We start from the raw sequence: 18,019 nt of genomic DNA on the forward strand, positions 1-18,019 counted from the left end.
TCCTCAAGGTTCATTCATGTTACAGCATGTATCAGAAATTCCTTCCTTTTAAGGCTGAATAGTATTATATTCACTGTATGGAGGTATGTATTTTAAATTTGCAGACAGATATGCTGAAATTGTCCTTCTAAAAGGTGATACCTTCATTCCCACCACAGCAAGTAGGTCCAGCCACATTTCCCCCACCCTCACCAATCCTGCTTACTATCCAGCCTCTTCATGCTGCCAGTTTACTCCATGGAAGAGGAATCTGGTTATTGTTTTCCTTTGCATGCATGAGTAAGGCTGGTCACCGTTTCACAGATTTATTGGCGACTTTTTTTTTTATTGTTGCATCTGTTGATATCTTTACCCATTGTTTTCTCTTGGGCTTTCTTTTTCTTAGTAATTTGTATGCGTTCTTAATAAATTAAGAAATTAGCCCTTTTAATATCTTATGTTGCAAATACCTGTTCCCAGCTTATTTATCTTTTTACTTTGTACACAGATCTTCTTGCTGTTTACTTTTTATTTTATTTATATATATTTTTGAGACAGGGTATCACTCTGTCACCCAGGCTGGAATGCAGTGGCGCGATCTCAGCTCACTACAACCTCCACCTCCTGGGTTCAAGCAATTCTCCTGCCTCAGCCTCCTGAGCAGCTGTGATTACAGGTGTGCGCCACCACCCATGGCTCATTTTTTTGTGTTTTTAGTAGAGATAGGTTTTGCCATGTTGGCCAGGCTGGTGTTGAACTCCTGACCTCAAATGATCCGCCTGCCTCAGCCTCCCAAACTGCTGGGATTACAGGTGTGAGCCACTGCACCTGGCCTATTTTTTACTTTTTATTATGAAAAAATCCAAAATATATAAATCAAATATATTTAAAAAGTAGAGAAAAGAGTACTCTGTGTACCCATTACCAAGTTTAATCTCCACCACACCTCAAATTATTTTGAGAGCCAGGCATGGTGGCTCACACTTGTAATCCCAGCACTTGGGAGGCGGAGGTGGGTGGGTCACTTGAAGCCAGGAGTTGGAGACCAGCCTGGGCAATATAGTGAGACCTCATCTCTAAAAAAAATTAACTGAGTGTGGTGGTGTATACCTGTGGTCTCAGCTACTCGGGAGGCTGAGGAGGGAGAATCACTTGAGCCCAAGAGTTGGAGGTTAAGTGAGCTATGATTGTACCACTGTACTCCAGCCTGGGTGACAGAGTGAGACCCTGTCTCTTAATAAAAAATTATTTTGAAGCAGATCCCAGACATCATCATTTCATCCACAGGTGTTTTCAACGTGTATCTCTAAAGACAAAATTTTTTTAAAACGTAACTATAAAACTATAATCATATGTATGTGGTTTTAAAATATAAAACTGTTCATTTCTAAGCAAACATCAGTCATTTTCTATATGATTTCTGGGTTTTGTGCCATGTTTGCAAAGTCTTCATAACAGTATTATAAATAAATTCGCCCATGTTTTCTTCTAGCATTTATTTTACTCAAAAACCATTCATTAAATTCAAAATTATTGTCCAGCGCATGCAAAGTTCTTAAGTTCTGGAAAGACACAGAGTCACAGGGTAATCAGAGCCAAGAGAGTTAATTTCCCTGCCCCCTTTCTCACCTGTAAAACATCTGCTGCCATGAAACCCCTTTTCAGACCCTGTCCTCCTTTTCCCTCTGTAGACAACCTTCCTGACCTCATGTGTGGGTCAGAACCCCCTATGGACTCTTTCGCCTCTGGCTTCCTTTTTTTTTTTCTTTTTAATAAGAGTGTTATTAAAATATAATTCACATATAAAATGTACCCTTTTAAAGTATGCAATTCAGTGATCTCAGTATATTCACAGTTGTGCAATCTTTGCCATTATCTAATTTTACATTTTTTTCATCACCCCCAAAAGAAACCTTCCACCCATTAAGTGATCACTTCCCATTTTCATGTCCCCACGAGTCCCCGGCAACCACTAATCTACTTTGTCTCTATGGATTCCCAAGACATTTCATAAACATAGAATCACAATATGTGGCCTTTTGTGTCTGACTTCTTTATTGCTAGTACTTTTAGAGTCTCATTTTAACATTTTACATCATACTCTTTCTGGAATTTACTTTGATGAAAGAAGAGGAGTTATACAGCTTGACTCTTTTTTTCTCCCAGATAGTCCTGCCATAGTCTCAACACTGTTTTCTGAATAATTCATCTTTCCTCTCATGGATTAGAAATGTCACCACTATCATCTACTAAATTCTCATTTTAGTTTATTTCTGGATTTCCTATTTTATTCCATTATCTATCTAAATCTCTGCTAGAATCAAACTGGGTTATTTTTTTCACTTATTTACTTATTTTAGTGATGGAGTCTTACTACGTTGCTCAGGCTGGATTCAAGCCATCCTCCTACCTCAGCCTCCCAGGTAGCTAGGACTACAGGTGCGTGCCACCCCCCCGCAGCTTAAATGTTTTAATTCTTGTAACTTCAAAATGTATTTAAATATTTAATCTAACTGCCTCCCCTCCCCTAATATCTTTCTGTTGAGATTTTCTTCTTGGCTATTCTTTCTTGTTTATTTCTACAGATGACCCCAATATTATCTTGTAAAATGTTGAAAAGAAATTTTTAAATATTTTTATTGGGATCACATTGAATTGATAGATTAAATACAGCAAGAAATAATACCCCTTAATAGAGATTTTATATTTTCTTTATATGGTCCTGCCTATTTCTAGTTAAGTTTATTTTCAGATAAATTGATCATAGTGTTCCTATTTAAATGGGATCTTTTCTTTCATTATATTTTCTAACGAGCCATTTTGTACAGTAATTATACAAAAAGTAACTAACTACTTTACTAAAATTCTCTTATAATTTCTGTTAGCTTTTCTGGCAAAACAAACCACCCAATACTTAGCGTCTTAAAATAAGAAACATTATTTCTCAACTCTGTGGGTCAACTGGCAGTTTTTCTGGTCTGGGCCAACTCGGTTTATTTCTGCAGAAAACTGGCACTTTAATTGGCCTCGATAGACGAGAGTGGCTTCACTCAGATGTCTGGTAGTTGGTTCTGTGTCAGCTGGAGCAACAGGGATGAAGAGTCTGTGTGTTTCTCATCATGCCGCGGGCTAACCTAGGCTCATTCACAGAGCAGTGGTCTCAGCCTCTTAAAATGGTAAAAGAAGGCAAGTCTTAACACACAAACAGTTTTCAAGTTTCTGCTTGCATCATGTTTGCTAATGTCCCATTGTTCTAAAGAAAGTCACATGGTTGAGCTCATAGTGTGAAGAAATATACTTCATTTCTGAGAAGAGCTGCAAAAGATTGTAGCTGTTTTTGCAATCTCCCCCAGATTCCTAACATTTCTTTTTGGCCTATTTTTGTCAGGTTTCTAGTTATTATTTGATATCATTTAAATTAATAAATCCTCCTTACCTCAAGAGGTAATTTTAACTCTTAAATTATTTTCTTACTTAATCATACTGGTTAGGATTTCCAAAACATTATTAAAGTATAGTATCTTACTTTAAAAGGTTACTGATGGGCCTGTAATTCCAGGACTTTTGGAGGCTGAGGGAGGAGGATCACTGGAGGCCAGGAATTTGAGACCAGCCTGGGTGACATAGAGAGACTGCCCACTACTTCTACAAAAATAAAAAATAAAAAATTAGCCAAGCGTGGTGGTGTGCAACTGTGGTCCCAGCTACTTGAGAGGCTGAGGTGGGAGGATCACTGAAGCCTGAGAAGTCTGGGCTTCAGTGAGCCAAGATCATGCCTCTGCACTCCAGCCTGGGTGACAGAGTGAGATGCTGTCTCAAAAAAAGAAAGAAAAAAAAAGTTACTAATGGTTATCTAATGGGTCGTGGGATTATAGGGCTTCCTTTTTATTATTTTGCCTCTTGTTAGTCTCTACTTTTTCTACAATGAATATGTGCTGCTTATATAATCAAATCATTGGTTTGTTGGCACACCATCACTTTGGGATGGCTCAGAGCGTCCCAGTTCACCCTAAAGTGTAAGCTGCAGTAACCATCCTGGTTGTAACCAGAATCTTTGTTCTACAATTTGGAATTGGAGTCTCCTTATAATCTAAAGATTTTGTAGTTGTTAACATATTAACACTTTCGATTTTATAATGTATTCTTACGTGTCTTTTAAGCACATACTTCTGGCTGGGAGTGGTGGCTCATGACTGTAATCCCAGCACTTTGGGAGGCCAAGGCGGGTGGATCACTTGAGGTCAGGAGTTCGAGACCAGCCTGGCCAACATGGTGAGACCCTGTTTCTATTAAAAATACAAAAATTAGCCAGGCCTGGTGCCGGGCACCTGTAGTCCCAGCTACTTGGGAGGCTGAGGCAGGACAATCGCTTGAATCCAGGAGGTGGAGGTTGCAGTGAGCTAAGATCATGCCACTGGACTCCAGCCTAGGTAACAGAGCAAGACTTTGTCTCAAAAAACAAAACAAAACAAAGCACATACTTCCTCAAAGTGCTTTAAGGTACATGTTAATTTTTTTAATTAAAATTTTTTATTAAAAAATATATATATCTGTGTAGTGTGAGAACAAAAAAAGAAAAAGCATAATATCTTCTTTCTTTAATGGAAATTAAAGTATGATGCTGAATTTTTATAATGGCAAAAATAATCTAGCTATTTCTAAGATACTAAGACTCTGGTTTTTGTTTTGATTTTGGTTTGTTTGTTAAATCAGGAATGAATGTTCAATTTTGCTAAATGGCATTTCAGTATCTAGTGTGATGATTATACTTTTTCCTTTGATCTGTTAATATAGTAGCACATTGGTACAATTCCTTTTTTTTTTTTTTTTTTTTTTTTTTTTTGAGGAATCTCACTCTGTCACCCAGGCTGGGGTACAGTGGTTCGATCTCAGCTCACTGCAACCTCTGCCTCCCGGGTTCAAGCGATTCTCCTGCCTCAGCCTCCCGAGTAGCTGGCATCACAGGTGCCCACCACCATGCCTGGCTAATTTTTGTATTTTTAGTAGAGACGGGGGTTTCGCCAGTTTGGCCAGGCTGGTCTCGAACTCCTGACTTCAGGTGATCCACCTGCCTCAGCCTCCCAAAGTGCTGGGATTACAGGCATGAGCCACCGCGCCCAGTCGGTACAATTCCTAATAATGGGCCATGCCTGCATTTCTGGAACCTCACTGGGTTGAGGAGTTTTTTTGTTATTGCTGGTATAGAACAATTGTGTCTCCATACATCTGCCTATTCTGGACATTTCATAGAAATGGAATCATACTATACGTGACCTTTTGTGTCTAGCTTCTTTCACTTAGTGTGTTTTCAAGGTTCCTCTATGCTATATCATGTATCAGTAAATCATTACTTGTTATGGCCGAATAATTTCTCATTGTATGGATAGACCACATAGAAATGCTTTTATGTCATCTACCAAGTTAATGTTCGTATCATCTTCCTCCTTTATTTCACATCTCTAGTGGATTACATTGTAGATATTCTGGTGTTGGAAAACCCTTTCATTCCTGAAATACACTTGACTTGGTTGTGATTATTATTCATTTAATAAATTGCTAGATTCGATTTGCTAGTATTGTATGTAGAATACTGGTATCTTTCTATATGTGAGCTTAGCCTATATTTTATATTTCTTTTGCTCTCCTCATTTAGCTCTGGTATAGGGTTATGCTAGCACAGTAATATTTGTATAAGATAGGAAATATTTCTTCCTTAAATGTCTGATAGACCCTAGCCATAGAGTCATAGGATCTGTTCCCTTTTGGAAAGTAGGTCTCGGCTAGCATTTCAGTTTCTTCTATAGTTATTGGTTTATCCAATCTTTCTACTTCTTCCTGGGTCAGTCTAATGTGCAAGCAGTAATGTGTACAAAACAGCTTGATGAGATATCACAAAACAACACCCAGGTCAAGAAATACAAAATTGCCAATATTCCAGGAATCCCACTGGTGATTCCTCCCAATTACTGTTTATTTTCTTTCCAAAGTAATTATTACCTTAATTTCAATGATAATTATTTCCTTGCTTTTCTTTATAGTTTTATCTCATAACCGTGGAACCCCAAACACGACAGTTGTTCTTCGCATGTATTTAAATTTTAAAAAATTTAATTTTAGTTTTTGTAGGTACATAGTAGGTGTATTTATTTATGGGGTACATGAGATGTTTTGATACAGGCATGCTACGCATAACAATCGCATCATATAAAATGGGGTATCCATCCCCTCAAACATTTATCCTTTGTGTTACAAACAACCCAATTATACTCTTTTAGTTATTTTAAAATGTACAATTAAATTATTATTGACTATAATCACTCTGTCATGCTATCAAATACTAGGTCTTATTCGTTCTATTTTTTTGTACCCATTAACCATCCCCACTACCCACAGCCACCTCCACTACCCTTCCCAGCCTCTGGTAACCATCCTCCTACTCTCTATCACTGTATTTAAATTTTATGTAAACGAAGTTACACAATATTTATTCTTATGGACTGGTTTGTTCCACTCAGCAACATGGTTTTCTCCTGCCATTTCCTGTTTTCAGTATTTTGCAGCAGAGTGCCCAACATAGAACATAATCGCAAATATTCCACTGCAGAAAAGAGGTGCTAGTGCTTAAGCACAAACGGGAGACATGATTATTTTGCTTTAAATAAATACTTAAACACAGCTCAGGTCCTGCAAGTATCTGGACTCTAGGTCTGAGTAGTGGAGCTGAGTCCCACTTGGGCCCACAATGATATCATGATTCCCCCCTTCCTCTCAGTGATCAATACGTGGCATCGAGTGCCAATGGTCAAACGTGATCGCAATGAGCTCCTTTTCTAGAGCCTTCCGCAACTCTCTACGGACACGACTAGCCAGGATAAAGACCATTAGAATTGTTCGGTCAGTGGTCCGTAACAGTTAAGTATTTTAAGGCTGTCCATGGCGAAACCCTGTCTCTACAAAAAATACAAAAATTAGCCAGGCTGGTGGCATCCGCCTGTGATCCCGGCTACTCGGGAGGCTGAGGTGGGAGGATCACTTGAGCCTGGGAGAAGAAAGAAAGAGAGAGAGAGAGAGAGAGAAGTATTCTTCATGGGTCTCTTGGTTTTTTTTATCGGGGAGACAGATGCATTTAGGTGATTTTCTTCAGCTCATCCTGCAGGACCAGCAGGTCCCTGTTTCTGAGGACCACATGCCCTTGAAGAAAGCTTTGCCCCTTTCCTCTCTGAAGATGGTCCTCCAACAATCGAGGGTGCCTGTGTACTCGAGGTCAGCTTCTTTGCCTCGACTGCATCTGCATCCCATCCACCTAGGCAGGCAGATCATTTGAGGCCAGGAGTTCGAAACCAGCCTGGTCAACATGGTGAAACCCTGTCTCTACTAAAAATACAAAAATCAGCCAAGAAGGGTCACACGTGCCTATAATCCCAGCTACCAAACTTAAAAAAAAAAACCTCTACTATATCTTCTGAATAATAATTTGAATATTATTTCTTTGTCTCTTAGGTCACTCATCAGCAAACATATATAGTGTGTCTGCCTTAGGTAAAGTAACTGACCAGGTTCAAAGATGCCTCTGATATGAACCAAATCACTGACCCTCGCAAAACATGTTGCTTTAAGAAATTGCCTTTGTATGAGAGTAATCCCTATAGGAGCATCTTAAGTTCCTTAAATTTTTTCCTCTCAATAAACCCAGTAGTAATTGTACCCTCCTGACAGTCTTCAGAGGGCAACAGAAATTACTTAGAGTTAAGAAATTAAAGTGAGTAAAGGATACAAATTATTTACAGGATAAGACTTTATGTGCAAAATACATCTATAAAGTTTACTTCGTCAAAGTCTGACCTGTTTGCTTAGCCTCTCTATTCTTCCCTCCATTTCCTCTTTCCATTCCCACCTTTCTTCTTAGTGCCAATATTTTCCTCAAACAAAGGCTTTTCTCATTAACTGCCTGCATTGCTTTGCCTCCAGCCCTCTGAGTCTGTGTTCTCTTTGGTCATTGTTTTCCATCAGCAGAAGCACAGACACGCTCTCTTCTAAGTATTCAAGGCATGCCTGACTTCCCAAGATGATCTTCCCAAGTCACTGAACGTAACATCAAGAACTTTTGCACATTTTAGAGTACATACACGGGAAGCCACATCCCAGAAATCTACATGGCAACCTCGCTAGGTAACTCTTAACTCTGAAACCCATTTCAGAAACACTGCCTGGAGTTCAAGGGCAGAGCTGGAATTATAGTTCAAAGCTTTGGGGTGGTCTGTTATGCAATTAACCAACTCACTTTGTTATTAATAGTATCACGAATCATTATGCAAGCCAGGTGTGCTTGTAAGGGAAGCACCAAGCACTGCTTCAACCATTTAATTATTTATGACACTTTCCCCCTTTTTAACTAAAGCATGCTTGCTGTATAAATTTTGACAAACAATAGGTAACTTAAACACCAGCCATAATCTTACCACATAGATGGTATCACTTATTATGGCAGCATGCACTTCCAGGCTTTTTTTTTTTTTTTTTTTTTTTGAGACAGAGTTTTGCTCTTGTTGCCCAGGCTGGAGTGCAATGGCGTGAACTCAGCTCACTGCAACCTCCACCTTCCAGGTTCAAGCGATTCTCCTGCCTCAGCCTCCCGAGTAGCTGGGATTACAGGCATGTGCCACCACGCCCGGCTAATTTTGTATTTTTAGTAGAGACAGGGTTTCACCATATTGGCCAGGCTGGTCTTGAACTCCTGACCTTGTGATCTGCCCACTTCGGCCTCCCAAAGTACTGGGATTACAGGTGTGAGCCACCATGCCCGGCCCACTTCCAGGCTTTTTAAATGCATTGCTGATATTATATGTAATTTTACTTTCTGCTTAAAATTATATTAAAAGTAGATTTCCATGTCTGTAAATTTTTTATATCATTAAATGGCTGTAAAATATCACCTTGAATCATAAAGAAATGAAGTTTTCCTTTTATTAGATTGTAACTTGTTTCCAATTTCATCACAATTGTAAGTAACATTGATATGGAAATCCTTATGCATGACTCTGTCTGTATTTCAGATTATTTCCATAGGCAAAATATATATCTGATACAGGTCTTGCATCCAGAATATATAAATAACTCTTACAAATCAATTATAAAAAGACAAATGAGTCAATTTTTCAATGGGTAAAAAAAAGTGAACAGATAATTTACCAAAGAAGATCTACTTAAGGCAAATAACCCCATGAAAATATACTCCACATTAGTCACCTGAGAAATACAAAGTAAAAGGACAATGAGGTAATACTACAAACACTACAGGCTAACATTTTTTAACTGGCAATACAAAGTGTTAGCAATGATATGGAGCAACTGGAATTCTCATACATTGCTGGTGGAAATGAAAATGATACAGCCCCTTTGGAAAACAGTTTATCCAGTGTTTTGTAAAGTTAAACTACACTTACTATACAACCCGGCAACTCTCCTCCTAGAAATAAAATACAATTCTACTCCTCAGAGAAGTGAAAATACATCCACACAAAAACCTGTATATGAATATTCAGAGCACTTAATTAATAATAGCCCAAACTGGCCAGGCGTGGTTGCTCACACCTGTAATCCCAGCACTTTGGGAGGCTGGGATGGGTGGGTCACTTGAGATCAGGAGTTTGAGACAAGCCTGGTCAACATGGTGAAACTCTGTCTCTATTAAAAATACAAAAATGAGCTGGGCATAGTGACACACACCTGTAATTCCAGCTACTTGGGAGGCTGAGGCGGGAGAACCGCTTGAACCCAGGAGGCAGAGGTTGCAATGAGCCGAGAAACAACCCAAATGTCCATCTACTGATGAATGGATAAACAAACAATTGTGATGTGTCTATTTAATGCAATATTTCTCAGCAGTAAAAATGAATAAGCTACCGATACATGTAACAGCATAGATAAATCTCAAAAGCAGTGTGCTAAGGACAGAAACCAGGCATCAAAGACTACCCACTGTATAAATCCATTTATATGATATTTTAGAAAAGGCAAAACTATAGTGATATTTCTAGTTTCCTGGGCTTGGGAGTGGAGGTAAGAACTTTTTGGAATGAAGGAAATGTTCTACACCTTGATCGTGGTGGTGGTTGTATGACTGTATACATTTGTCAAGAAGAATTAAACTGAACACTTAAGATGAGTGAGTTTGTAGTATGTACATTGTACCTCAATAAAGCCAATTAAGAAAATAAGAAATGGTTCTGATATATGGTTTTTTGGGTTTTGTTTGTTTGGGCAGCTGACCTAAAATAGAACCTGAAAACAGATTGGGGAATTCAGAAAGAGAAATAGGACTTGAAGGGTGTGGGGGATGGTGTCAGGACAATGATTTCTGGTTTTGGAAGTGTTAAGGAGGTTGAGTTAATGAGGGCACAGAGAGAGAAAAGAGACATAGAGAAATATGGGGCATGATGGGGGGGTCTCTACTGCAGCAAAAAGGAAAAAGGAGAGCAAGAAATTGAGAAAACAGTTTTTATACATAGGATTTTTGTATGTGTTGCCTATTTTGTCTCAATTTATTTTTATTTTTTTCTCTTCATTCTCTTGGTCTCTCCTTTTCCTGGGGGGTCTTAGACACCATGTGTAACTATTGCGTGCTTCCAAAGTTTTCCACTAAACAGACCACACACATACATACAGACACACCACACACAACCAAATGTTCCCCAACCCCACCCCACCACCACCACCACATACACACAAACACATACCCCTCACACTAAAATAAAACAACCAAAGGAGAAAATTGGAGGGTGGAAGCAAACCAAGAGACAGGAAGGTAAAATCTGGCCCCTGCCTTAAAGCGCATTAGTTAGGAGAGTTCACTCTCTTGGTCCTTTACATTCCGTGGGGAGAAGCAGTAGAAAATTACCGGGTTATTCACTCCGAGTCTAAGCAGCTGAATAGGAAAATAGCTTTAATAGCCCTATTAGGACCTGGGCCAAGGACTTTTTCTTTGGGTTTGTTGTGAATGATTAAAGGTTAACGGTGGCATTTTTCTTTCAGCCTAGGGGAGACAACCATCTCAGTAATGATCCTAATTGGATCCAACTGGGGAACTCCAGAAAGTTTCAGTAACAAATTTGCAATGGTTCTGGGCCTTTTAATATGGATTCACAAAAGATAATGAGGTTATCCTGTCATTTCTACCCTATGGATGAGGAAAGTGACATTCAGACAGGCCATGGGATCTACCCACTCCCTCGTAAAGAACTGGAGGACCAACATTAGCAACAGGACCTCCCATTTGGCATTTTGTTTTCAGATGTGCCTAGAAGAAGGAGATTACAGCTTCTTGGACTGTTGAAGCCTGGGTTCTTCTTGAGTTGTGAAGATATCACCTAAATCCTATCCACATTTTGTGCACCAGGTTTGTGGACGCCTACCACCATTCATTCATTGCAGTGGCTCAGAGAAGATGAAAACAGGACTCTTTGGGGCCAATGAAGATCCCCAACAGAGCTCAGATGACCAGAGTGGACTGGCTTCTACCCTAAATACATACAACAATACTTCCCACTCTGACCTTGCTCACTTTATACAACACCACACAACTAGAGAGTGGCAGAGCTGCTGTGGGAACCCAAATGCCATCTGACTCCAAAGCCTTACTCTCAACCACCACCCTGCTGCCTCCTATTCTTTCCTGAAATCTTCAGTATAGTCATTATTATGAAGTAAAAAAAAAAAGAAAATGAAAGGATGGAAGGAAGGTAGAGGGAGCCCCTCTATCTCCATTCTTTGTTTCCATGAAGAACCTCTACTCCATTTTCAGGGGAGTGCTATTGGTGTAACACACTTTCTGGCCCTCTCCCTCCCATTCTTGTCACTCATTCTCCCCAAGGAAGAAGCGATATGTGGATGATAAGATTGGAAGAAGCCACTCTTATGTTCGGTGGTGTGCTGGTAAATGTTTAGCAGCTGGCTCTGGGGCAGAGAGAAAGCCCTGAATTGTAGTATGTGCCAATCTCCATGGTGTAAAAACACTTCTACCATAGCTGCTTCCAAGTATGTAAATTGTACACCTCAATAAAGCCAATTTAAAAAGTAAAGTCAATCAGTTTGTAAAACTCTTGAGACTTTAACATTCAGTCCAGCAAGCTGTTACCTGCCGGATCCAGCAACACACAACCCGTAACATAACGAGTTGGGTCTCAGCTCCCCGCTCTTCACAGACTCCAGAGTTCTCTCCCCTTTGTGGGGTTCCTCATCCATCCTTCCATTGCTTCTGCTGCTGCCCTGAAGGCATCACCGCTCTCCCGTCTCCTCTTGGGGCACCTAACTCTCTTAACAGTTTAGGACTTTGAGGAGTTTTGCCTTTCACAAAAAGAAAGAATGGGGGAAAAACGGTTATGCCTCAGCAGCTTTCGCTGTCTACCCTGCAGCACAAATTCCACTTGATGGAGGAACACAAAGGTCGGACTCCCTGCCGTGAAGAGGAGAAAGGGAAATTCGAATATGGAAGGAGCTCTACTCTCCCTTGCTCTGTCCTCCGCAAGAGAATGGGGCAGAACATTCTTTAGTCTACACCTCTGTCCCACATGAGTTGCCAAAGACCACAGTGCCTGGTGGGTGACATCTCTCCAGGCTTTTGAAGACATCTGAGCCTGGATTTTGAGCACATTCCTGACCTCCCTACTGGGAGGCTCTTCTCCTTCAAGGTCTGCCTTCTGACAAGCCCTAGCTCTTTCCCACCTCCAGTGGCTGGGTGGGCCGGGGGGTGGGGTAAGGGTGGAGATGTGGGCACATTCTGGGAGCCCCACCAGAACCCCATGGAGTGGAGAAGTGACCTTCTAAGGAGGGGAGCGTACAGTTTCCGGAAGGGAGGAAGGATGCGGTGAGGACCAAATGCATCCATGCAGGATTTCAAATATAAACGACTCTATAGAATACAAGCACCTACTCCTGGCAACCGAAGCCGAAGGAAGCCTAAGAATATAAGAGACGGGGCTTCGGCGAGGGCACGTGACCGAAAACTCACATAACACTCCACCTGCCCCAGTCCAGCCAGCCTGCTGTCCACAGTGTGCCCATCAGTGTATCAAACCTCAGTGCTTTATTTCCTGGGATCCTGGCCGAGCTCCCATTAACCTCCTGTGTTGTCCCCACAGCTCCTATACATGGGAGAGGGCCTGCGTTGGGCCAGATCCCAGAGCTGGGGCCTAATTTGTGATGGGATGCCCTGGGAGGCAAGCGTGCTTCAGCATGTACCCAATCAATAGCCAGACACCCAGGTCCGGAGGTGCCTGAGTCGGTCAGCAGGACGTTGGGCAGGTCTAGGTTCAGAACCTCTGCAGTTTTTCCCTTGGCTTCCCCGGGGCTTGTCCACAACGCCCCCTGCTGCCCATTCTTGGTTAACCTTGTGTCTTGTGGATACCTCATCAGATCTGTTCATGAAGCCTAACGCAAGGTCCTCCCTCCAGGGTGACACAGTGAAGTCAAGTAACAGATGTGGAGATGCTTTGGAGAGCTTGAAACAGAAGACTACATAATAACAATGGGCCAGTATCATAAAGCCAAGATTGAAGAAGACAGAACTGAATATCTCCCTCATCTGCAAAACTTGCCTTATCTTTCAGTATCATCCTGTTTCAGTGGACAGAAATCAATCCATCATATATTTGAGCCCTGCTCTTATAACCAAGTTAAATTTTGCCTAAAATAAGGCCCTGCCTCAAGCAAATCATGGTTTGTTTTTTATTTTATTTTATTTATTTATTTTTTGAAATGGAGTCTCGCTCTGTCACCCAGGCTGGAGTGCAGTGGTGCAATCTCCTCTCACCACAACCTCCCCCTCCTGGGTTCAAGCGATTCTCACCTCAGCCTCCCAAGTAGCTGGGATTACAGGTACGCACCACCATGCCTGGCTACTTTTTGTATTTTTAGTAGAGACGGGGTTTCACCATATTGGCCAGGCTGGTCTTGAACTCCTGGTCTCAAGTGATCCTCCCACCTCGGCCTCCCAAAGTGCTGGGATTACAGGCATAAGCCATCACGCCTGGCCAAATCATGGTTTAGAAAAGGGAGATGGTCAAATATAATTGTTATGACTGCCATAGTACCTACTATGTCCCAGATAATTTGCCTAGGTTTTTAACCCTCACAACACATCCCTAAAACATTGTACAGATGCAAATGCAGAGGCACGAAGAGGCTTAAAACATTCCCAAAGTCACATAGTTACTATAAAGCCAGTAACTGGCTCTATGTCTATCTGAGTCCAAAATGTGTTTTGTCCCCTTCTGTGCCTATGCACAGAGGGCAGTGGGAACATAAATGGAGGTGGAGGGAGGGGTAAGAAGGAGACATCAGTGGTCTACCCTCTTTATGTGATAACAGACTCCCTCTTTTATCTGGCAGCTGCTCCCTCAAGAGGAATACCCATTCTTTCTTCCTAGGTCAAGAAAGAGAGTCCAAGGCATGGTCAATCACAACACTGTCCCTCTAGTCATGGGCCAAGTGCTGGGCACACGTCACCAGCCAGGCTACTCTTAGCCTTTCCCATAATTTTAATAACCTGAGACTGGGAGAAAGAAGCCTCACTCTCTCCTGGAGTGATCAAACTGTATGTAAGTCTAGAGTTCTCTGTGAGTACAGTCTCCTCTAGCAAGAAAGGATGAGACCAACTCATAATAAGAAGCCAAAATACATGTACATATGAGTAAGAGAGAGAGAGAGAGCTGACAGCATTGTTTGGGTGTCTGGATCTAGCCATTCCTGTGGTGGCTCTGTCTAGTCCTTACTTAAATGAGTTAATACATCCCCTTTTAACTGAAGCTAGTTTGTGTTGGGTTTCTGTCCCTTAAAGTCAAGAGTCCTGAGAAATACAATACTGGTCAAAAAAAGTCTTCATAGAACAGGTGAACCAGGAAAAAAGGGATTCACCAGAAAGATAAGAGGAGAGGCAGAGGGTGAACGTAACAGCAGCTGCACTCGAGGAACTGCGAGCAGCTCAGGATGACTTGAGCTGAGATGTGCAGAGGGGGTTGGAGAGACGGGCGAGAGCCACATCAGGGAAGGCCTTGTTTGTCAGGTTAAAATGTTTGGTCTTTATGTGAGGGCGACAGGGAGCCCCCAAAGGGTTTCAAGCAGTGGTGTGACATGCTCAAGCTCGTTTTGAGAAGATCACTCGGGAGAACGGGTCTGAGAGACAGCACAACAGGAGGGCAGCGGATTAGTTATGAGGCTGCTCCGGGAATCCAGGTGAAGAGCTCAGGATGGAAAATGACTCGACGTTTTTGACTTGGTCATTGGCCAGAGGGGAGGGCAAGAACGAAAAGAGTTGTGTTTTGTTCATGTGCAGTTTGAAGTAAGTATCATACATTTAAATGGAATTGTCCAGTAGGTTTACTAAAAGAGATGACAGAGTTGGCGATGTTTAAGTTTTTCTGAGTCATCAATTCAGCTGTTTGCTGTCTGCCTACTACTGGCCAAGCACTGTGTGGAGGAGAACACCGTCCAGCCTCTGCTCCCTGGCATCACACTGTGGCAAGACAAAACAGATGATAACCAGAGAAACCAATCAAGAAACAAGGGAAGTGCAGGGGAGACCGTAAAGCAGCATCGTGTAGCAGAGGGGCTGGGGTGGGGGCTCCATCTCTTCAGTGGTCCTGGAAGGAGGAGCTGACGCCCTGAGGGTGCAGGAGGTGGCTGAAGATGAATATTCTCCAATTCATGCCCACTGAATAGGAACATGCCCATTTAAAAGCATCCATATGCATTTTGTTTGGCTTGTTGGTTTTCTTTGCCTGCCTATGCCTTCAAAGCTGGCATTGAGGTGGCAGGAGGCTTCTGTGCAGAAAACTGAGGCTGGTGCTGGAAAACTCCCACCATGGCCCCTTTGTTCTCATCCAGTGCCTTTCATCCCACACTCCCAAAGCCCATCCTGGCGCCCACCCTTTAATTGTCAGGCCTGGCTCATCGACACAAGCAGGTGGCATTTGATCATTATTCCTGCATCATAAATGAGGGTAACAAAGGCCTCCCTCTCCAGGGTATCAGCCAATATTATTTTGTGAGTTCAAGGGATCTGACTTTGAGTTGAAGCAGAAAGGCCTGATGTCCCATCCTTTTCATTTCTGGAATTACCCGTCGCTGCATCTTTCTGTTACCGCCATTTCCTCTTTAACTCCACGTATCTAACTGGAAACTTTGCTTTTCTTTGTTTCATCTTCTTTGGAATATGTTGTTCCCTGTGACCCCTCCCCACAAAGCCTTGCCTCTGCAGCAGATGCCCTGAGCCTTCCTGATGCCTGGGACTGGTACCTCATCCAGTTTGCTTGTTTCAGGCACTAACTAAACTAGAATGTGCCTGGATCCCTATGGGCCTTGGCTTTCTACCAGATGACAGGCAAACTAAGAGACGTACACAACCTATGCACTCCCTTCCCTCTAGAATGTTTCAGCAGGGGTCCTCTAAGTAAGAAAGCTGGAATTAAAAGGAATAGTTTTAATGGGGAAACCCTGGCTAGGGAGATGCTTGATACCCTAAGGCTGTATGTCTAGCTAGGTCAGGCATAGCTCAGTGCGGTCTGCATTTCATAGCAGATGTTTAGTTTGGAAAGTCCCCTGGCTACTTGGCTTCTAGAGCCCTCTCTCACCATGGGACTTCTCTGTGGGAGGACAGAACTCATCAATCACATTCTCCAAATGTCAAGTTCCTGCTGTGTAACCCCAGGAGAACCTTGCTTCCCATCTACATAACAGAAGTGAGGACCCCAGATTTGCTAGACAAAAGCTTGAACCTGTGGGGAAAGGTCCCCCCAGCTGGTCAGAATTCCCAAAGAAGGCTACCACTGGGAGATGGATTGCAATATAAATGGCACCCCCACCCTCTGGATGTTTGTCATTTCACCCTTCCTTCTTTACCTGACAATCTCTTAAGAGATTCTTGGGGGGATGTAATACACCAGCCAGGAACTAAATTATATTCAACTTTCTCAAGTAGATACTATTTCAGCTACGTTTGGGAAATGCTTAGCCAGAATTTGAGGTCACTGGAAGAGGTCATAGAATCACTCAGGTTCAGACTTGTGGAATTACTTACACTTTCCAGAACCTGTCATGACTTCTTTGGCTCCAGGGCTTTATACCTGCTGCTTCTTGTGCTTTGGGGTTTCCTTCTCTCCCACCAGCCCTATCCACAGCACACACATGCATACACAAACATGTACACACGTATACACATGCATGCATGCACATGCGCACACATGCACACACATGCATACACAAATGCACACACATACATGCATACACACACATACACACACATTCACACACATGCATACACATACGTGCATACACACACATGCTGCACACATGCACACACATATACATGCACACACATACATGCATACACATGTGTGCATACGCACATGCATACACACACATGCATACACAGCATGGCCTCTGCTTGTCCTTCCAGAGTCTCTTATAAAGCTTTTCCTGATATTCCAAGTCTCAAGCTAGCTACCCTCCTTTTTTTTTTTTTTGTGACTGAGTCTCACACTGTCACCCAGGCTGGAGTGCAGTGGCACAATCTCGGCTCACTGCAACCTCCACCTCCTAGGTTCAAGTGATTCTCCTGCCTCATTCTCCCAAGTAGCTGGAATTACAGGCACCTGCCACCACGCCCAGCTAATTTTTTGTATTTTTAGTAGAGACAAGGTTTCACTATGTTGGCCAAGCTGGTCTTGAACTCCTGACCTTGCCACACCCCCATTTTTACAGTTTTCTAACCATTGACTATTTTCCAGTCTTTTTTTTTTTTTTTTTTTTTTTTTTGAGGCAGGGTCTCGCTCTGCACCCAGGCTGGAGTATGATAGTGCAACCATAGCACATTGCAGCCTCCTGGGCTCAAGAAAGCCTCCTGCTTTCAGCCTCCTGAGTAGCTGGGACTACAGGTATGTGCCACAACATCCAAGTAATTTTTAAAAATTATTATTATTTTTTTTTGAGACGGAGTCTTGCTCTGTTGCCCAGGCTAGAGTGCAGTGGTGCAATCTCGGCTCATTGC

At 42.2% G+C, this 18,019-nt stretch overlaps 1 protein-coding gene across 7 annotated transcripts in view; it reads left to right on the top strand.

Annotated features, from left to right (window-relative positions):
• ANXA4 (annexin A4) overlaps window positions 1–18,019 on the top strand; it is a 183,305-nt gene that overhangs the window by 57,692 nt on the left and 107,594 nt on the right. For 2 of the 7 annotated variants that reach the window (XM_047444083.1, XM_024452835.2), the window contains one exon: window positions 11,011–13,692. The exons of the other annotated variants lie outside the window; for them this stretch is intronic. The gene's annotated coding sequence lies outside the window, so the exon portion shown is untranslated. The remainder of the gene's footprint in view (window positions 1–11,010; window positions 13,693–18,019) is intronic. 7 annotated transcript variants of the gene reach the window in all.

Source organism: Homo sapiens, chromosome 2 (assembly GCF_000001405.40).
Source record: "Homo sapiens chromosome 2, GRCh38.p14 Primary Assembly".
Classification (NCBI taxonomy): domain Eukaryota; kingdom Metazoa; phylum Chordata; class Mammalia; order Primates; family Hominidae; genus Homo; species Homo sapiens.